The sequence below is a fragment of the Homo sapiens genome, chromosome 1, assembly GCF_000001405.40.
Source record: "Homo sapiens chromosome 1, GRCh38.p14 Primary Assembly".
NCBI classification, from domain to species: Eukaryota; Metazoa; Chordata; class Mammalia; order Primates; family Hominidae; genus Homo; species Homo sapiens.
In genome coordinates this window covers 90,781,249-90,802,114 of record NC_000001.11, presented here as the reverse complement: position 1 = coordinate 90,802,114, position 20,866 = coordinate 90,781,249, and the positions used below count along the sequence as shown (strand labels likewise).

Below are 20,866 nucleotides of genomic sequence, written 5' to 3'. Positions count from 1 at the left end.
AATTTAAACAACAATGAGATACCACTACATGCCTATTAGAATGGCCAAAATCCAGAACACTGACAACACCAAATGTTGGCAAGGATATAGAACAATGGGAATTCTCATTCATTGCAGGTGGGGATGCAAAATGATACAGCCGTTTGGAAGACAGCCTGTTTTTTGTTGTTGTTGTTTTGTTTTGTTTTTTTTTACAAAACTAAACATACTTCTACCGTATGATCCAGCCATTGAGTTCCTTGGTGTTTTCTAAAAGAAATGGAAATCACCTTTACACAAAAATCTGCACATAGATATTTATAGTAGCTTTATTCATAATTGCCAAAACATGGAAGCAATAAGTTGTCCCTCAGTAGGTGAATGGATAAATAAACCGTGGTACATCCAGACAATGGAATATTATTCAGCATTAAAAAGAAATGACTATCAAGCCATGAAATGACATGGAGGTACCTTAAACGAATATTACCAAATGAAAGAAGTAAATCTGAAAGGTTACATATTGCATAATTCCAGCTATATGACATTCTGAAAAAGGCAAAACTATGGATACAGTATAGAGGTCTCAGTGGTTGCCAGGAGTTGGAGAGAGGTAGGAATGAATAGGGGAAGCATGGAGGGTCTTCAGGGCTGTGAAACTATTCTGTATGATATTATAATGGTGGATGCATATCATTGTACATTTGTCCAAATCCGTAGAATGTACAACATCAAGAGTGAACCCTAATGCAAACTATGGACTTTGGATGATAATGATGTGTCCGTGGAAGTTCATCAGTTGTAACCAATGTACCACCCAGGTGTGGGATGTTGAGAATGGGGGAGGCTGGCTGTGTGTATGTGAGGTCAGGGAGCATATGGGAACTCTCTATACTTTCTACCTCAATTTTGCTGTGACCTTAAAACTGCTTTACAAAATAAAGTTTATTTAAAAGGGGGGGAGGGGAAACAAATAAAACAAATCACCAACAACAACAACAACAACAAGAACAAGATTAAGTACAGATCCTGAGCCTTGACAGAGCAGCCCCAGAAACCTTTGTTTTCTCAAGGTCCCATCACAAACCTCTGCTCTAGCCTAAGCAGCCTATTTAAGGTGCCCCAAATATCCCTTTTCCTTTCCCAGCATCTTCCCAGCTCACAATGTCCTCTTCCCCCACTCCTACCCTGTCACTCAACCACATTCTTCAGTGTTCAGTGCTGGTTCTACCCCTCTGGGAGAACTTCTTAACTTATCCTCACTAGAAGGGATGTCTCCGGCCTCTGCACTCCCCTGCACCTGGGCCAGTCATCTGGCTCTTAACGTTGGCTACCCTGTGGAGTTAGATAGAGCGCATGGTTTTTATGGATGTGTAGTAGTTCTCTAGTGTGCAAATTCTTTCAGAACATGTATTTTGCTGTATGATTTGTGTCATTGCCCTCAGACTTGTTTGTATTTAATTCAAGGATTAAATCAAAATATCAAAACTTACATTAAAATTTCAAAGCAATAAGTGGCCACAAAGCTTCCACACTGGAAGATGCATCTCACAGTCCCTCAGTGTTATAGTGTCACTGGTGGGAATGACTCTGAAGCAGCATGCAGAGCCACCTTCTGGGCTCCAAGGTGATGAGCCCCTGGGAGTTACTATTCCTGCCTCCTTAGTGAAGACCTCGGGCTCTTCAGGATTTTCTAGGGGGTCGCTTTAGTCTGTAAAACCTTACATGGCTTACTACCAGAGGGGTCACCCCTCTGTATGCTCACCCTGGGAAGAGTGAGATGAATTCACTTCCAAGACTAATGATCTGAGAGCCTTTTCCTGGGGCAGCAGGCTCTCCGATCTGGCAGCTGTCCTCTTCCCCTGTTGCTCTGCTGCACTGATTTGCAACTAGGCAGATTTGACGGTGGGGGTGGGAGAGAGCATGCAGAAGCGCCCCCACTGACCTCATGTGCCCTTCCCCACCTAGCCTCAATCACACCCATACTGACTGAGAACCATGGCTCCAACAGTTAAGCCTTTAACGTGAGGGAACACTGTTTTCTCAACTAGGCATATTCTGCTAGAAATATCAGATCCTTTTCAGTGTACCTTAATTTTACAAATATTTCAGATGAAAGTTACTTTGCCCTTGCCCCAAATTACCTGAGCCATGATCTCAATCTGATCATTTTATTTTAATAGTCCCAACCTTAAAATGTTCAAATCCACCTTATTCTGTAGAGAAGTCCATGTGTCTGCAGAAACACCATGTTTCTTTGTCTGTCCTTGTGAGTCTGAATAATTAAACAGGATTTTGATGGCGTGTGTGCCATGTGTATTTATTGTGCACACAGGTAGATACATGCATAACATATTAATTGAATTATTTTAAAAGCATAAATATTTTGCTGGGTTACAGAAACACACACTAAATATCTAAATCTACAAACTGCTGACAAACAGCACCTTTTCTAACAAAAGAGAGCAGTTTAATAACAGTGTTAGAAAGCTGGCAATATGTTTGCTAAAATCTTTAATTAGGGACAGGCTTTCCCAGAGGCTTCTGAAGGCAAAAGGTGTAAATGGAGAAACTGTCCCAGCCTGCATGCTCCGCGGTGGCTGTGTTCCGAGCACAGATGGGCTGGTGAGGAAACTGTGAATGGACAAATGATAACAGACTACTCTGTAATTCCAACATCAGCTCATTAGCAATCTGTCAGAGATTTTAATATTTATACTGGTAAAAATGCAGAAATCACACGATCGTTACGCGACAGTGTGTGTGTCTCACTGAAAAGGCCATTATCAACGGATTGGCATAATGGCTATTAATAAAACAAAAATGTCGCGGGAAGCACAGGCATTTGGATGCTTTGTGCTCGTTAGAAAATGATGATTTTGTGTGCTTTTAGGCCATAACAGGAAGCTGAGATAACAATGGTTTCATGATGGAAATCATTAATAAATAAACAACCAGGCCAGCATGGTGGAAAATGTGAAGGACATGAAGCCATACCAGTTTCCAAAAGATGAACGGTGACATTTCTCAGTTCTGAAAAATCCTCTGTGTCAGCAACTTTAAATTCCCTTGGATCACAAACCTGGTTTCCAAATGATTTTAAACTTGCTAGTCAGTGGGTTCAAATAGTTGCCATTGAAAACATATCTATTTAGAATGCATGTACACAATGAGCTGAAACTGATGAAGAATCAGGGTTTAGTCTCTGAAGGGAGAAAGAGAATGAACATTTATGAGGTATCTATTGTATGCCAAGTAGTTTATATTTGGAATCTTGTTTAATTTTCACAACATTCGAGTGAGATATTTCTCCCATTTCACAGGTGTAGAAGTAGCTGAGCCCCAGAGAGATTATGTGACTTCATGAAGATAGTACGGCTGGTTAAGTGGAGACAATTTTATTTGAACTTGGTTCTTTACGGTTGCAAAGCTAATCTTTTTTTCCATTGCATTATACTGCCTTTCAAGTTGTCTATCATGTACACTGGGGAGTAGCCTTTTAGGATCCTCATTACCTTACTATGGACAGGCACAAGGGCCCCAGAGACTCAGGGATCAACTTATATGAAGGCATCCTTTTTTTATTTTATTTTTTTTTGAGATATGGTTTTGCTCTGTCTCCCAGGCTAGACTGCAGTGGTGTGATAACAGCTCACTGTGGTCTCAACCTCCCAGGCCTCAGCCTCCCAAGTAGCTGGTCTGACAAAGCCATCCAATTTTAATGGCACAAATGGACACTGACTTATTTGAAGTATATACTTTAAAATTTCTTTTTGGGGAATAGTTCTGCTTCAATATTGAGAAATGTCTGCACCTGATACAAAGAGTTAAGCTAATGATCTGTGAAATCTAGTCAAAAAATTTTTGAAAGAAAAGAGTTCTTATATTATGATTCTATAAAGCTTAAAAATAAGTCAGGACAATGAAAACGGTTAGAAATCAGGATGATGATTTCCCCTGGAGAGAACAGTGACTGCAAGCAGGCACCGGGGGACTTCTGGGATCAGGGTATTGCTCTATTTCTTTTCTTTTTCTTTTTCTTTTTTTTTTTTTTTGAGATGGAGTCTTGCTCTGTTGCCCATGCTGGAGTGCAGTGGCATGATCTTGGCTCACTGCAAACTCTGCCTCTCAGGTTCAAGCAATTCTCCTGCCTCAGCCTACTGAGTAGCTGGGATTACAGGCATCTTCCACCATGCCTGGCTAATTTTTGTATTTTTAGTAGAGACAGGGTTTCACCATGTTGGCCAGGCTGTTCTCGAACTCCTGACCTTGTAATCTGCCCGCCTCGGCCTCCCAAAGTGCTGAGATTACAGGCATGAGCCACTGAGCCTGGCCTTGCTCTATTTCCTGATCTAAATGCTGGTTACACCACTGTGTTAACTTTGTGAAATTTTGTTGAGTTTGTAAATTTAGGATTTGAACACATTCCTGCATGCATATCCTACTTCCGTAACATTTACCAGAAAAAATAGAGGACAAATTTTTTTTCCTAACATGATTTAAATTGGAGTCTTGCCTGTTCAATTTTCGTATTTTGTGGCCATGGGCAAAATTATTCTTTTATGTGAAGCTTGTAATTGGAAGTCCTCCTTCTGGAGTTTGGAGACTATAAGCTGGGGAATATGTCTCCCTTGTCCATGTGGGTGAGTATGTGTATGCTCATTTAAATGTGCTCATATCCTAGAAATGGAGAAATACCTGTGTTCTTTTACTGCCATCTTTCAAATTCCTGAGAAACCTAAAATGGGAATGGAATGTTACTCAAGTGCAAATTTTATACAAGTGAGCTTGGGGATGGAGCTGTCTTATTTGGTGACCCCTTATTGGTAGCAATTTCCAGTGCAAATGGCAAGGGCAGGCACCCTCTCCTCTCAGGAACCAACATCTCCAGCCAGCATGTTGAACTCACTCTCACCTTGTGTCTTCGCCCCATCCCTGCTCAGTTCTTATTGCCAGGCTCTGCTGGAAGAGCCAAGGCAGGAGGATGTCTGCATCCCACAGACATCTGAAGGGCTGATTCTGAGGGCTCTTGAACAGACTCAACCTATTCATTTGTGCCTCAAACATATTTCCTACCTTACAGTACATGCCTATCTTAATGATCTAAACTTTTTTTAATCACCAAGATAACTACAAACAAGGTAGATTGTTGAAATGCTGCACTGCATTCACTAGGTCACTTCTGGAACTTTATCTTAAGGAAATCATTAGACAAGTTTGCAAAGATATTTCTCAACGTGTGTTTTGAGGACTACCAGTATCCATATCGCCTGTAGTGCTTGATAAAATGCAGCTTCCTGGGTCTTATGCCTCTCTTATTGAAGATGTGAGGCTCATGCATCTATATTTTAAAAGAGCCTCAGATAATTCTTAATCACATTTAAGCTTGAGGATCACTAATGTACAGGGATGTTATTGCAATATTGTTTAAAAGAGGAACAAAAAGGAGCAGGGAGCCTAAATGTTCATCAGAGGAGGATTAGTTAAAATAATGATGATACAATGACATTCTGCAGCTTTAAATATGTAATATAGATCCATATTTATTGACATGGAAAAATGTTCACAGTATATTGCTGGATGCAAAAAAGGACATGTTGTCTGATAATATTTTTGTTTCTAAATATGCATTTGGGTGAGGCCAGAATATCAACAGTGCTTATCTCTGGATGATACTTTTATTTTTCATTGTTTTCTCCTATGTTTTTTGTTTTTTTTTTGTTTTGCAGTAAGCATTTGTTACTTTTATAATCAAATAACTCCAATAAAGCTATTATAAAAACCAGAAAAAGAAAACTATTTGATTTCCTAAGCAAGTACTTCCAGTGTACTATTCCAGTGAAATTTGTGTATGGTTAATTCAGAAGATCGCAATAGCTGTCTGATCCTCTTAACATATGAAATATCTAAAAGACATGTCTGTGTTGGTCCATGAGATCAGTCAATATTGCCAATGGAGTAAAACCTTCTGAACCCAAGAGTGACTTTATAGCTGATGTTTATATCACAGATATTTTTACTCATTAGAACTAGTGCTTTTTGCAGGGGATAAGAATGGTGAAGAGGGCTGGGAAATGCATACTGTGATTTGGGGAAGTGTATCTGGTGCATAAAGACTGTCCAACTCTTGTATTTAGAAGATTTGCAGCAGTGGAAGAGTCCTGAAGAAATCGAAGGGTCAGTGAACTTCAGTTGTATCCTGCTTTTTATGCTTGCTTTCAATCCTTTACCCTTAAAAGTGTTTTGTTCTTCTTCTTCAGCTTTGTCTTATAATGAAAAAGATAGGGAATGAGATCCACTGAAAATTCCAGGATTTTGCCTCTCAGAACACAATCTTGAGAGTACATTTTTCCTAATCCAATCTGTTTTAAATGTTGTCAGGAAGTACCATAATTGGTTGTGGTAAATGACACTGGAACCACATTGCTACTCACTCTGGAAATGATATGAGCTCAGCGTGCTGCTGATCAAATGCGTTTCTGCATTAAAACTATTACAGGCAGAATGCCTCAATGGGATTCTTTCCTCCTAATAGTTTTCCAGGGTTTGTGCTGAAAGGGTTCTGTCAATCAAGCCTGAAAATCAGCTTAACACTCTGACTTGGGTTAATAAAATGCAGCTGCCAGGATCTCAGCTCAGAGGCCACTGTTCCCTGGTTCCAACATTATCAAGCCCCACTAAAAATGCCTCATTATAATTGATACTCACTGATAATACACTTTTTTTTATTGCAAAGAATGCCTCCAGAAAGACTTTGCCTTACATAAAGCCTGCTAGAAGAGAGACCCCATATCAAAGACAGATAGCTAAGAGGAAGTAGTACAGGCTAAATGTATTTTCACAAGTACCCTGGGGACAGACTTGGTGCAGATTCTGACTTTCCTGGGTGGCTTGGATAATGCACCAAGAATTGATACTGAAATAAGGATATGGCCCAGATTATATGGTTGTGAAAGAGGCTCTGATAGCACTGTCACCAATTAATGGGAAGATGAGATTCCAAATGAAAAGACTTATTTTACTAAGGAAAACAAGATGTCATAATGCAGAAAGCCCATGACAACTGACATGCCAGTGAGAAGAGAAAATGTCCCTTGAATCACTAAGTCACTGCTTTGCTGGAGAGTCCATATCACTGTCTCTTAGTTCTTCTAAGATTCAGACTTCTGGGCCAATTGATTCTAACTCTCTTCAAATAGAAATATTTCTCCTCTAGTTTCATGGACAGAGGCACTCACACAAAAAAAACCCACATTAAAAGGACATTAGGGCCATCAAAGTGCTGGAGGGAAGCATGATGGCTTTCAAAGTAATTCTACTTTCTAGAAAGTTTCTGCTGGCTGTCTCTGAGGAAGGAGAAAATGAAATAAACACAGCCCTGGTGTGGGGGGTGGTATTTCCACCCAGTGAATTCTCATCATGGTAGAATACCACAAAGGTGGACAACCAAGTAGGAAACTGAGAAAGGAACATTGTTAATTATACTCCCGTGTTGTTTATTTGAGAGTTTCTGTTCAGAGACAACTGGAGTGACTTTCCAGGAAGGGAGAAGGAAACGGTTTTTCGTGGCTGGTAGAGCTATTGTTAGGAAAGCTTTAAGGAGGTACTTTGGGCACGGTCTTCTTTACACAACCAAAATGGCTCTGGGGGCTGCAGGATCACATGACATTATGAGGGAACGCTTGACTCCATTACATTTGCTTCACATTCCCTTTCAAACATTAATTGCCTGAATTTCCCTGGTCAAGTGAAAAAAAAAATAAGCATACACACATTTATCATGTTATTGTTTTATTACTTTGGCTGTACTTCTTCCAAATGTGTTTTTATTCAGGTTATATATTCTAGCACACACTGCCCCCATGTGCAGTGAGGAGCAGACCCCTTACACTCTCCTTAGGATGATTTATGACTGATACATATTGAGGACTTGTGTGCTGCAGCCTGTACTGAGCTCTTCACAAACGTTCTCTCCACCTGATCCCCATATGACTGTGTGAAGTTGATAATGTTCTTTTTAGTCCTAATTTACAGGGAAATTGAGTAAGAGGAAGGTTGAGTAACTTGCTCCAGATTATCCAGCTGGTGAGCAGATCCTGACCTGGTCTATCTACAAAGCACTGCTCCTTCACTGCTATTCTCTACACCTGCTGGCTGATGATGTTCTATACTCGAGCTTCTCCCAGTATGAATTAGTGGCCTATGGTCAGTAGTTTCCACATGTGGCGTTTCTAGGAAAAGGAACTATCCCTATTCCCAGAACAAGCCCTAGGTTACACTTGGATCCAGGCCTACTTTGAGAGATTGTTGCCACTGAAGGGGAGACAGCCTACTAAAGACAGAGCTCTAGCTTCAAAATTGGAGAGATCAGCTTTCCATTTTGGCTTTCATATTTACTAGCTGTGTGATCTAGGTCAAATAATTTAACCTGTCTGAACTTCAGCAACCCAGCACTATATTTAACATGGAGAGAGCTAAAAAGTCATTAGGGACATACGAGCCCTAGATTACACTTAGGCTCTGTGCTTCTAAAAATCCGACTCCTCTGGGGAGTCGGAAGTGAGAGTACGTGTGTTTGGGAGAAAGATATAACAGAGTTGATAAAAAGTGGGCAATAGTGATGCTACCCACCTCTCCTAAGCAGACCTCACCAGTTGATCAGGGCACCATTTTGTGATGAGTCTGGTTTCAGTGTCAGAATTCTTCTCAAGGGTTCCAAGCAGTTCAATGGAGTTGGTGCTCAGAAAGAATCCTATTTATTATCCCATGCATAGGGATATCAAAATAGGATCTGCACATGGGGAGGAGTAAAATAATAAGGTAAAGGATCTGAAAAAGAAAAAAAGAAGTGAAACTGTGAAACCTGAACATTATTTTTATCTCATTTTGTTTATGATTTAAAAAATAATCCTTCTCACATTAATAAAAGTGGATTTCATAGTAGGAGTGGGATCCTCAGTTGGAAACTAACACTGGTGACTACTTTACATAGATTATCACCTGTGAGCAGTAAAACAGCCCAGGAAGGGAAGATTAGTAGCCCCATGATACAACTGAGGAAACTGAGGCTCAGAAAAGTAGAGTAACTTGCCCAATACCACATAATTATCGAGTGGGACCTTCTAGCACCAAATGTGGCCCTCTTTCCACAACACCGTCACAGGACCATGCAACACTGAGTTCTAGGCCTTTTGCAGTTAACTCAAACCCATCTATTTTCCCCTGGCTTCCCTGGGTTCCCAGTAGCTGGGCCCACTGATCTCTCTACCTGCCATGGTAGAGAGGGGTTTGAGACAGAGCCAAGGGGTTTGAGACAGTGTTCCCTGCAAAGTATTGCAGGAAATTTGATACTAGAAAAAGGTCACTTAATGTAATTCCACTTAAAATGGGTTTCCCAAGTTCTACTGTATTAAAAAAAAAGAGGTTGGACTAGGACCTTGTCTTGAAAATGAAATGAAAATTTATGAAAATAGGTGTTCTAGGAATTAAATCTGTGGCAACTGTGTAATTCATGAATGAATGAATAATAAACAATAAGTCTAACTTGAGGACTTCACTTTTTTATTTTTATAGATTTAGAGGGTACATGCACGGTTTTGTTTTGGATATATGTGTAATGGTGAAGTAACTGTAATTTGAGGAAACAAATTACCTCAAGTCTTTGTGGCATAAAATGATGAAGTATTATTATGCTCACAGATTCTGTGGGTCAGGAACTCAGCCTGGGCACGGCACATGACTCTATGACTCTTCACCATCACTTTCATTGATGTCAAGAAATCCTTCTCACCTACTTAGCTTTGTAACTGTAGTAACTCTGATCATGAGTATTTCTCTTAGGAATTTCCCGACTTTAGCTCTGCCTCTTCCCTCCCTGATTGCAGTGCCTTATCCCTATGCACTGCACTTCGGGGTTATTTCTCCTTCCGTAAGCTTAGTTCTGCCCCTTGCCTCTGACTACGCTCTGTGCCTTCAGCTAGCCTTCATTCTGTTTCTGGCATCTGTCTTGACCCCTATGGCCCTGCTTTGTTTAAGGCAGTTCTCCTCCTTGGGGCCTGGACCCTGCCATAGGACCAACCCAATAGGTTGAACCTGTCCCCTATGGAGAGATGGCCCTGGCCCTGTCTGCTAACCTGGGCTCTGAGCCATTCCCTTGTTTTCCTTTTCCTGTTCTCAGCTCACATATTGGGGCACTTTGCTCGAATGAGCTCAAGGAAGGAAAACACCTAGTCCCACGGCTGACTCACAATGGGCACTAAATTAAATGCTAGAATTCCCTTGCTCAGCAAGGCCCCTGACTGGAAATGGCCACATTCCCTGGACACTGGGTCTTGACCACTTATCAGAACCCATTCTATCTATGCTGCCCGTGCCTCCAGCTCCAGTGCGTTGATTTTTGAATCAGCCTTTCCCCTCATAGTGTCTGCATTACTGCTGAGAGGTCTGCTGAACCTAATCACAGATCTTCCTCAGACACCTTGAAACAAATGTCTGAAGAGCCCAGAACAATTTCACACTAAAATTCTCTTTCACTCAACAAAGATATATTGATGATTCAGGCGCTGGGCTTCTGAGGTTCCAGGCCTAGACTAGAAACTGGCGATACTGTGGTGAACGCAGTTCCAGCCTTGCCTCTCCTGTTACCCTTCAACTCTTGCTGGCCAGGCGTGGGGTGGCTCATGCCTGTAATCCTAGCACTTTGAGAGGCCAAGGCTGGTGGATCACTTGAGGTCAGGAGTTTGAGACCAGCCTGGCCAAGGTGAAACCCCGTCTCTACCAAAAATACAAAAAATTAGATTACAGGTGCACGTGTGGTGGTGTGCACCTGTAATCCCAGCTACTCGGGAGGCTGAGGCAGGAGAATTGCTTGAACCTGGGAGGTGAAGGTTGAAGTGAGCTGAGATCGTGCCACTGCACTCCAGCCTGGGCCACAGAGCGAGAGTCCATCTCAAACAACAAACAAACAAACAAAAAAACAAAAAAACCTCTTGCCCCCACCCCCATTCCAGGGAGCCATGCACAGTTCCTACACTCTCTACTCCTATCCTCTGACATCTTCAGGCAGTCCTGCTTTCTACTCTTGTTCTAATTGCTTTTCTGTGTCCTCTATTTGACATCCACACAAGAGAAGAGTGTGTCTTCTCCCCACTCCACTGAATCAGTGCTGGGATGATATTCCTTTAGAACTCGACTGTTCCTTTCCAAAGTTTCTAAAGTCCTCAAGTGAGAGTTGAGTAAGAGACACTGGAGACTTCAAAAGGTGGGAGAGTGGGAAGGAAGTAAGGGATGAGAAATTACTTATTGGGTACTGACATGGTTTGGCTCTGTGTCCCCACACAAATCTCATCTTGAGTTGTAATTCCCATGTGTAATCCTCACATGTCAAGGGAGGGAAGTGATTGGATTAAGGAGGCAGTTTCCCCCATGCTGTTCTCGTGACAGGGAGTCTCACGAGATCTGATGGATTTGCAAGTGGCAGTTTTTCCTGTGCTCACACTTCTCTCTCCTGCTGCTTTGTGAAGAAGGTGTCTGCTTCCCCTTCTGCCATGACTGTAAGTTTCCTGAGGCCTCCCAGCTCCCTGCCATGTGGCACTGTGAGTCAATTAAACCTCCTTTGTTTATAAATTACCCAGTCTCAGGTAGTATCTTCATAGCAGTGTGAAAATGGACGAATACAGGTACAATGTGTACTTCTTGAGTGATGGTTACACTAAAAGCCCAGACTTCACCACTACACATATATCCAGTAACAAAACTGTGCGTGTACCCTCTAAATCTACAAAAATAAAAAGTCCTCAAGTTTGACTTATTGTTTATCATTCATTCATTCATTCACCTATCAAATATATGTTGTGGCTTAAAACAACAACAATTTGTTAACTTACAGTTATGGAGGTCAGAAGTCTAAAGTGGGTCTCACTTGACAAAAGTCAAGATTTTGACAGACCCGTATTCCTTTCTGGAGACTCTAGGGGAATCTCTTTTCTTGCCCTTTCTGGCTTCTAGAACCTGCCTACATTCTTTGGCTAGTGGCCCCCTTCCATCCTCAAAGCCAGCAGTGGCTGGTCAAGTCTTTCTCATGATGTTATCTTTCTGGTTCTGACCCTTCCATCTCCCTCTTCGCCATTACGGACCCTTTTGATAACATTAGGCCCACCTGGATAATCCAGGATAAACTCTTTATTTTAAAATCAGCTGATCAGTCACCTTAATTCCATCTGCAACCTTAATTCCTTTTTGCCATGGAACATAGCATACTCACAGGTCCCAGGGTATAGGACATAGACATCTGGGGGCAAGGGACAAGGTTGTGCCTACCACTCCTACTCTTAGAGTTTTTTTATTTAGTATGTTCATGGAGGGGCCCAGGAATTTGCATTTCTAACAAGTTTTCAGATGATACTGATGCTAATGATCCAGGAACACACTTTGAGAACCACTGGTGATATGGTTTGGATTTGTCCCCACCCAAGCCTCATGTCAAATTGTAATCCCCAATGTTGGAGAAGGGGTCTGGTGGGAGGTGATTGGGTCATGAGGGTGGATTTCCCCCTTGCGGTTCTCATGATAGTGAGTGAGTTCTCACGAGATTTCGTTGTTTAAAAGTGTGTAGCACTTCCCCTTCACTCTCTCTCTCTCCTGCCCCAGCCGTGTGAAGATGTGCCTGCTTCGCCTTCCATCATGACTGAAGTTTCCTGAGGCCTCCCCAGCTATGCTCCCTATACAGCCTGCAGAACGGTGAGCCAATTAAACCTCTTTTCATTATAAATTACCCAGTCTCAGGTATTTTCTTTTTTTTTTTTTTTTTTTGTGATGAAGTCTTGATGTGCTGCCCAAGATAGAGTACAGTGGTGCAATCTTGGCTCACTGCAACCTCCGCCTCCCGGGTTCAAGCAATTCTCCTGCCTCAGCCTCCTGAGTAGCTGGTATTACAGGTGCATGCCACCACATCTGGCTAATTTTTTTTGTGTGTGTGTGTTTTTAGTAGAGATGGGGTTTCGCCATGTTGGCCAGACTAGTCTTGAACTCCTGACCTCGTGATCTACCCACCTTGGCCTCCCAAAGTGTTGGGATTACAGGTGTGAGCCACTGTGCCTGGCCTCAGGTATTTCTTTACAGCAGTGCAAAAATGGATTAATACAACTGATTTAGAAACTCTGTTCACTTAACATTTTAATTCATTCAGTTCTATGTGCCCAACACTATAGCAGATGCTGGGGATGGTGCCTGCCAATTTAAAAAAGCCCATAAATCTAACAAAGGGAGCAAACAATTTCAATTTGGTGTAATATATATTCTAAGAGTGCAAATGGAAAGTGCTAAGTGTGCAAAGTGGTAAGCATTCCTACAAGACAGAGCAACTAACAGGAGCAAGGGAGGCTTCACAGTGTAGGTGACATTGGATATTAAAAAATAAGGAGGACTTTGGGAGGCTGAGGTGGGTGGATCATGAGGTCAAGAGATTGAGACCATCCTGGCCAACATGGTGAAACCCCATCTCTACTAAAAATACAAAAATTAGCTGTGTGTTGTGGCATGAGCCTGTAGTCCCAGCTACCCAGGAGGCTGAGGCAGGAGAATTGCTTGAACCCAGGAGGTGGAGGTTGCAGTGAGCCAAGATCGCGCCACTGCACTCCAGCCTGGTGACAGAGTGAGACTCTGTCTCAAAAAATAAAATAAAATAAAATAAATAAATAAAAAATAAGGAGGAGATTTCTAGAGAGTTGAGGGGGGTAGAATATTGCAGGTATTGGGAATACCATATGAAAAAGAGCATGACGTGTGTAGGGAATGGGGAGTAGCTCTGTGTAGTTGGAGTGGATAGTTCATTGCAGTGTAGAAAACTTGGGAGTTGACACTAGAAAAATAACATATGTCACATTAAGGAATAGAGTGGGCCTGTCTGAGTTGCCTGCCCAGCCCACACTGTCTTCTCTGAGAACATTCTTCTCTACAGCTTCCACTGAAGATGTGGGCCTCCACCGCTGTCATGTTTTGTCCATATAACCTCACCCCTTCATGGTCACAGCCAATTGAGCATTTGGCTCATGCGATAAGCCAATCAGATTTTCTTTCTCAATAATTTGTTCTGAGAGATATGATGGGTAGGTAGGCTTGGATTAAAAATGTGTATAGGGGGCCATGTGCATTGATGAACAAGCAGAGGGAGACAGGGTGGGAAAGTCTTCAGAAGAATGGGGTAAAGTCAAAGAAAGAAGCAGAGATAAGATATTGAAGGCAGTGAGAGAGGAGCCAGCACACGGGGTACTCTGTCCCTGACAACTCCCCTGCTACCTGGCCGTACTTCTTGCTTCATGAGAGTCCCCTATTTCCTGATAATAACACTTCTTTTTATTAAAATGAGAGGGAGTACTTTTTTTTTCCAAAGGGTTTAGATTTTATCTTGGCAGAAGTGAGCCAGTGGAAGCGTATAAGGCAAAGGAATAACAGATTTGCATTTCAGAAGATCTCTGGCTGCAGAAGAGGGTCAGGGGAGCAGACGAAAGGCTCTGCATTGGCCTGGGCAACAGAGGTTGACAGTCTAAACTCAGGCAGTAGCAAGGACTTGAGGAAGGGGTGACTCTGAGAGATACTTGGGGTGTAGAATTGATAGGACTTAATGTTTTGGGTTGTATGAAGTCGAGGTCAGAAGGAGTTAAGGACAGTCCTCTGTTTTCAGCTTGATGAATTGAAATAATTGAAAGGCTGTTAACAAAGAAAGTGAAGACAGAATTACATTTTGGAAGAAAGATATTAAGCTCAGTTGAAGACACATGTTGTGTTTGAGGAGCCTATGGCAATATCCAGTAGGCACTGACACTATACCTGCGGGTTAAAAGGAGGTTAGAATAAAGATGGATATAGGTGGTATTCCCCTAACTAGATTAGATTCTGGAAAGAATTTAACATGAGAAGGAAGAAAAGGGAAGAGACAACAGAAACATTAACATTGACAAGCCAGAGGACAGACACCAGCCAGCCAAGGGACCTGAGGAGGAATGGCCAGAGGAATAGAAGGAGACAGGAGAGAGTGAACACAGGCATTAAGGGAGGAGAGTTTTAAGCAGGAGAAAATAGCCATACAGGTCAAATTGTGCAATGAAGTTAAGTAAGATGACAGCTGAAAGTTCATAGTATTTGATATTTGATCCATTGTTGTCTTTAAAGAGAGTAGTTCCATCAAAAGGGAGATGGCGGAAATAAGATGAGGTCATCTTGGGTGAGGAGTGAGTGGTTGGTAAGGAAGTAGCCAAGGCTAGTGATAACGACCCTTTCTGGAAGTTCGGATGTGAAGGAAAGGAGACACTTAGGCTGAAGCTTAAGGATGAAGAGAGATATTGTAGGATTATTACAAAACTGACCCTAATTCTCCATCCCTCCCTGAATCCACATCCTTTGTGATGTGACTTTGCAGCTCCTCCCATCAAAAAGTAGAGTCTATTTCCTTGCCCCTGGGTTGGACTTGTGACTTGGTTTTGCCAATAAAATGAGGAAGAATTGGTTTTGTGCCAATTCAAGAGGTCTTGTATTTCTGCTTTCTCTCTCTCTCTGCCTCTTGAAATCCTGCCCAGCAACCATGAGAATAAGCCTGAGCTAAATTGCTGGATGATAAGTGATCAGTGTCCCAGCCACCCACTTCACCATAACTAATAACCTGCTTAATTGCCAGGCATGTGAGCGAGCTCGCCCTTGACCAGCCTGCCCTAGCTGACCCCCCAGCTAACTGCACCCTCATGAGGGTGTGTAGTCACTATTTCGGGCCCAGCTGAAGTCAACTGAGCCTGGCCCAGATGACTTATCAACTTGTGAATAAAGTTCTTTCTGTTTGAAACCACTGTTTTGGGGTGCTTTGCTTTTACATCAATAGGTTACTGATTGAAGAGATTGCTGGAAGATATTTATAATTTTGCATTAGCATGGAGGAGATTTGAACATATTTGCACATATGGGAAAAAGACAGATTTAAGATTCAAGAAAGAGGGGTAAGTGATGGGAGAAAGGGATGTGATCAAAAGCTCAGGTGGGAGATTAGCCTGGGAAAAGACAGAGTGCCTCTTTTACTTTCAAGATAAGAGAACAAAGTAGGGATGGGAGTAGACATCCTGGACTGAAATTCAGTGCATCACTAGGGCTGTGGCTCTCAACTGTGAACATGGTGGTAGTTTCTCTAGCTGTATCTTGGGACATGCTCACATGTAATATCCAACTAAAAATTAACTCTCCAAACTCATGCATTTCCACATCTGTCAAAGCTAAAAGGGGCATCTGAGACAGATTTCCTTTTGTTTTCACTGGCGTGTCAAATGCCACAGTGACAGCAAAGGAATAATCTTCAGTTTGTGTATAATGAGGTCTGAAATTTCCGTCGCCACATATTGATCATGAATCTTATTTCACTAGATAAACTGACAGCAGAGTCTCAGTTACTTAAACAAAATTTTGAAGAAAATCAACATTATCACCCACATCTATGGCTTTTTTTTTTCCTACTGTCACTTTCATGGTTCAGTTATTTTGTCTATATGCAGTGATTTCCAGTTTTTTCTGGATTCCTCAATAGTCAAATCTTTCCTCAATCCTACATATATGCTCCTACATCCTTAAAAATATGATTTAATAGAAAGACAACTGGTTTGGCAGGCAGAAAAACTGAGTTCTAATCTTAACTCTGCTGTTAACTAGCAAAATTATCTAGGCTAAGTCTCTTAACCTCAGCTTTCTTATCTGAAAAATTTATTCCTCCAATAGGTATTTATTGAGCAGGCATTATGTGCCAGACACTATTCGAAGTGTTCAGGATATATCAATGAAAACAACGAGGCCTCTGCCCTCAGGGAGCTTACATTCTAGAGGAATCAGACCATGAAAAACATATGCAAAAGACAGGATAATTATATTATATAATTGCAGGTGCAAAGTGTTATGAAAAAATTAAAAATAAACTGGGAGTGGGGACAGGTTGCAGGTCAGGAGAGACCTCTGAGGAGGTGACTAGAAGGAGGTGAAAGGGTTACCATGAGGGTGTCTGGAGGAAGAATATTCCAGAAAAAATTCCTAACAGTGTTTCCTCAGTTTTTTTTTCCCCTTTAGATTCCATTTATGCTTGTTTACCTCAGTGAAGATTTACAATATGTACGACCATTAGGCCAGTCTTGTATATTATTCCATACATTTCTTTGAATAGTCAACAAATGACCAACTATTCCCTCTAGAGCTAGCCCCATGGGTCCTAGGTACAAGAGCCTGTTGCCTTGTATTTACTTTCAGGGACTTCTGTGTGGTATTTTCCACTGGAAAGGTCAGGTTTATATTATATCAAACATCACATGAGGATTGCCTATGCACATTTCTACCTTGCATAGGGTAGCTAAAGCAGGCAAATGTATTTTTAAAAAGACACAGCTCTTGAGAAAGTCACTACTATTTCTGCAAACCTCTAATGTGTCAGATGCTTTACATTCTTTATCTCCCCTGATGGTCACAACACTCCTCCCTCCCTCTAATGCTAATGAGGTTAGCAGTTTTCTAACTTTACAGATGAGAACATGGACATTCAGAGAGTTTCAGAAACTTACCTGTAGTCACATAGCTAGTAAGTTTCAAAGCCAGGATTTGATTCCCAAGTGTACGTTCTTTCCACTATCCCACACTGCTTCTTTTGTTTTTGAAGACTCTTTGATTTAGCTGGGAAGCCAGATGCATATGTATATGAGACAATCAGAGAGTCATTTTAAGGCAAGTAGCACAGTGGTTAGGAGCTTGGGCTCTGCAGTCAGGCAGCCGGGGGTCAAATTCCAGCTCTGCTACATCACTAGGTGATCATAGGTAAGCTCCTTAACTTTTCTGAGCCTCTATTTCTTTATTTATAAATATGGATCATATGAGGATCCATCTGATAAAGTTGTTGGAGGATTCAATGAAATAATACATGTGAAGTGCTTAGCATGGCATCTCTTAAATAATTGCTAATCTATGTTAACAGTAATTCTCATACATTGTTGATGCATTTTTTAAAAGTATATATCCTTATACATATAAAGATATCTCTGGAAGGCTCAGAAGGAGACAAAAGGAGCTGGTCACAGAGTGCCTGTGAGCTGGGAGCTAGGGAGCTGGGACAAAAGCACAAATTACTTTTCACTTTGATTATTTGTACACCCTGTGTACATTTAAATGTTGGGCCACATGATATTACTTATTTAAATTAGCAATTATAAATTTTTTAAGAAGTGCTGTTGTTGTTATCATTGGAAGGAATTTGGAATAAAGAAGCTATTAGTTGGATAGACTCATTTGGAGATTTCCTGAAGGTGATGAATTGGGCAGGGCCTTGAAGCAGGTGCAGAATTTTGGTGACGGAATAAAGACCTGGGAGGTATTTTAAGTGAAACGTTCTAGCAAAGTACAGCATAAAGGTGGAAATGAGTAGCTGGTGAATGCAGTCCATCTGATTGGTGTTGTGGAGACAATGAATCCAGCCAATAGATGAGAGTGAGGGTGCTTTCCAAATACCTATAATAGAAAAGAGAGGATGTAAGTGAGAAATTGGCAGAAACACTCCACCTCAAATACAAAAATTGAGAAAGAACAGTTCTGGAAAAAGATTGCCAGTTGAGGCCAATTCCATGAGCCCTGCTACCCGGATTATTCTGGTTCATCAATCCAAATTGAGCTGGAGGAACCTTTGACATCCCCCTCTCTCTGCCCGCAGGTCGGCTGCCTCCAATCCTGAGGTCATCACTCATCAAGAGGGGATAATCCCAGGGACAGCAGGATCTGCTTCGTTACTTGGATTTAGGAGCCAGAAACCCATCAGGCAACTAAACAGTAACAATGACCCGCCATTAAACACACTGAGAGAAGAGCATGATGAAGAGTTTGTACAAGAAGAAGCCAGGAGCACTTGCTGACAATGCTTACAGAGACGCAGGCTTCTATGAGCTCTGCCTGTTGAACTGCAGTAAAAATAGATCTCCTTCCCCAGAGAGGCTTGGATGTGGGCACAATATCAGTTCAGACGATGGTCAATGCATGTACTTAATAGAGTGAAAAGACTTTGGACTGTGAAGTCAGATTACCTGGGTCTGAATTGTTATTCTTCTACTTCTTTGTAGTATGCTTTCACCACATTAAAAATTGTCTGAGCCTCAATTTTTTTATCTGCAAAATGGAGCTAATACCTACACAGGGGCTTTTAAGAGAATCAAATGCAACAATGTTTGAAAAGCAACATACTCCCCTTTATGGAAAAAGAGCCTGTAAAGGAACCAATACAATGGCTGGGCGTGGTGACTCACACCTGTAATCCTAGCACTTTGGGAGGCCGAGGTGGGTGGATTGCCTGAGCTCAGGAGTTCGAGACCAGCCTGGGCAACATGGTGAAACCCCGACTCTACTAAAATACAAAAGATTATCCTGGCGTGGTGGTGTGCACCTGTTATCTAAGCTACTTGGGAGGTTGAAGCAGGAGAATTGCTGGAACCTGGGAGGCAGAGGTTGCAGTGAGCCAAGATCACACCACTACACTCCAGCCTGAGTGACACAAGACTGTGTCTCAAAAATAAATAAATGAATAAGTAAATAAATACAAAATAAATAAAATAAAGGAACCAATACAACAAAGGCTGCTCTCAACATTTTCCCTGCTCCTAGGCACTCAATATCAGAATATAGGCTTCTTTCTTTTGCTCAGATACCAGGGATAAGAAATGAGAGAGAGAGAGACAGAGTAATGTGGAAAGACAGGAAGCCAGATTCTGGCTCTTAGAGGAAAAAATTCACTCTAAATAATTTTCAGACAATGTTACTCTCCTTTCTCAAACACTGGGGCCACAGGCATTATGCCAAAGGAGTCAGCAGCCTGGCAGATATTTTAAACTGATTCTGAGACTGAACGACAGCCCATTTGCACCATATGCCACTGACACGTTAATCTAGGCAAGGATGCTAGGCACCTGGGGAAATCCATGCTGAAATGCCATTTAGGCAGGACATACCAACTCCAGTGGCAGAAGTTCATCAAAACAAACAGGCAGGGTGGCCAAGAAGATAGAAGTGGAAAGCAGGAGTGAAGGGGACATGCAGTGTCCAAGGCACAAAATGTGTTCTGAGTTGCAGACACTTCATTGTGCTTCTAGGAGAGCTGCAGATTCAGCAAGACATTAAAACTGGGTATTTGCAGTCTGGACAAACGAGTATCTGCTACTTTTGCATCAGTTATTCTACATGGCCTCAAACCCTGTGACCCTTCTATCCATTGGCAAATACTGGGCGATGCTCCAGTTCACCAGAATGGCCTCCTTTATCCCTGCAGTTTCACTGTAAAAAGCCCGAGCAAGCGGCTGCCGAGTGACTCTAGTAGTTGCTCCGGTGTCAGACTTTCCAGGATCCAATTTGGTGGGAGCACTCTGGGCCTTTGGTCTCCCTCTACTCTTTGCCAGGCCCTGTTTCTTGGTTACTCTGAGCAGTAATGAGCTTCTCCACCCCAGCATGAGGACAGGCTCACAGCCAGCACATGAAAAGGGCTGTGCTCATGTGTGGCAAACTACTCTATTTCATGGGCAGCTCACACGTCTGTTTTTTTTTTTCCTTCTTCTGTGATGCAACTACACTAATGATTTTTTAAAGTAGGAATAAGGCAGTACTATGGCTTTCTGGGGGAAAAAAAGTCACACAGCAGGAAAACTGCAGCAGATATCATCAAAGAAGCTCAGAATAAAATGCCCACCCATTCTTGTTATTGGCCCAAATGATTTTCCAGGAGCAAAAGGATCATTCTAACAGGCATCTTAATAAACAAATAGAATCATTACCTTAGTTATTTTCCTCCAGGCAAATGAGGCTTAAAAAATCAGCTCTTCCTGTTAATGTTAGTTATTTTTCATAG

At 41.9% G+C, this 20,866-nt stretch overlaps 1 long non-coding RNA gene across 1 annotated transcript in view, besides 1 other annotated feature; it reads left to right on the top strand.

The window, feature by feature from the left end:
* The window catches only part of LINC02609 (long intergenic non-protein coding RNA 2609), a 68,667-nt gene extending 49,536 nt beyond the window's left edge, over positions 1-19,131 (top strand). The window contains exons 2-3 of the long non-coding RNA NR_135038.1: positions 12,628-12,717; positions 18,692-19,131. This is a non-coding gene — a long non-coding RNA (long intergenic non-protein coding RNA 2609). The remainder of the gene's footprint in view (positions 1-12,627; positions 12,718-18,691) is intronic.
* Positions 14,190-14,439: a silencer, noted in NCBI's record as "fragment chr1:91253233-91253482 (GRCh37/hg19 assembly coordinates)". NCBI's record gives its function as "represses an EF-1alpha promoter that drives an FKBP-Casp9 reporter gene in an ReSE screen in K562 erythroleukemia cells {active_cell/tissue: K562}" and the evidence as "EXISTENCE:reporter gene assay evidence [ECO:0000049][PMID:32094911]".
* Positions 19,132-20,866: the final 1,735 nt, after the last annotated feature.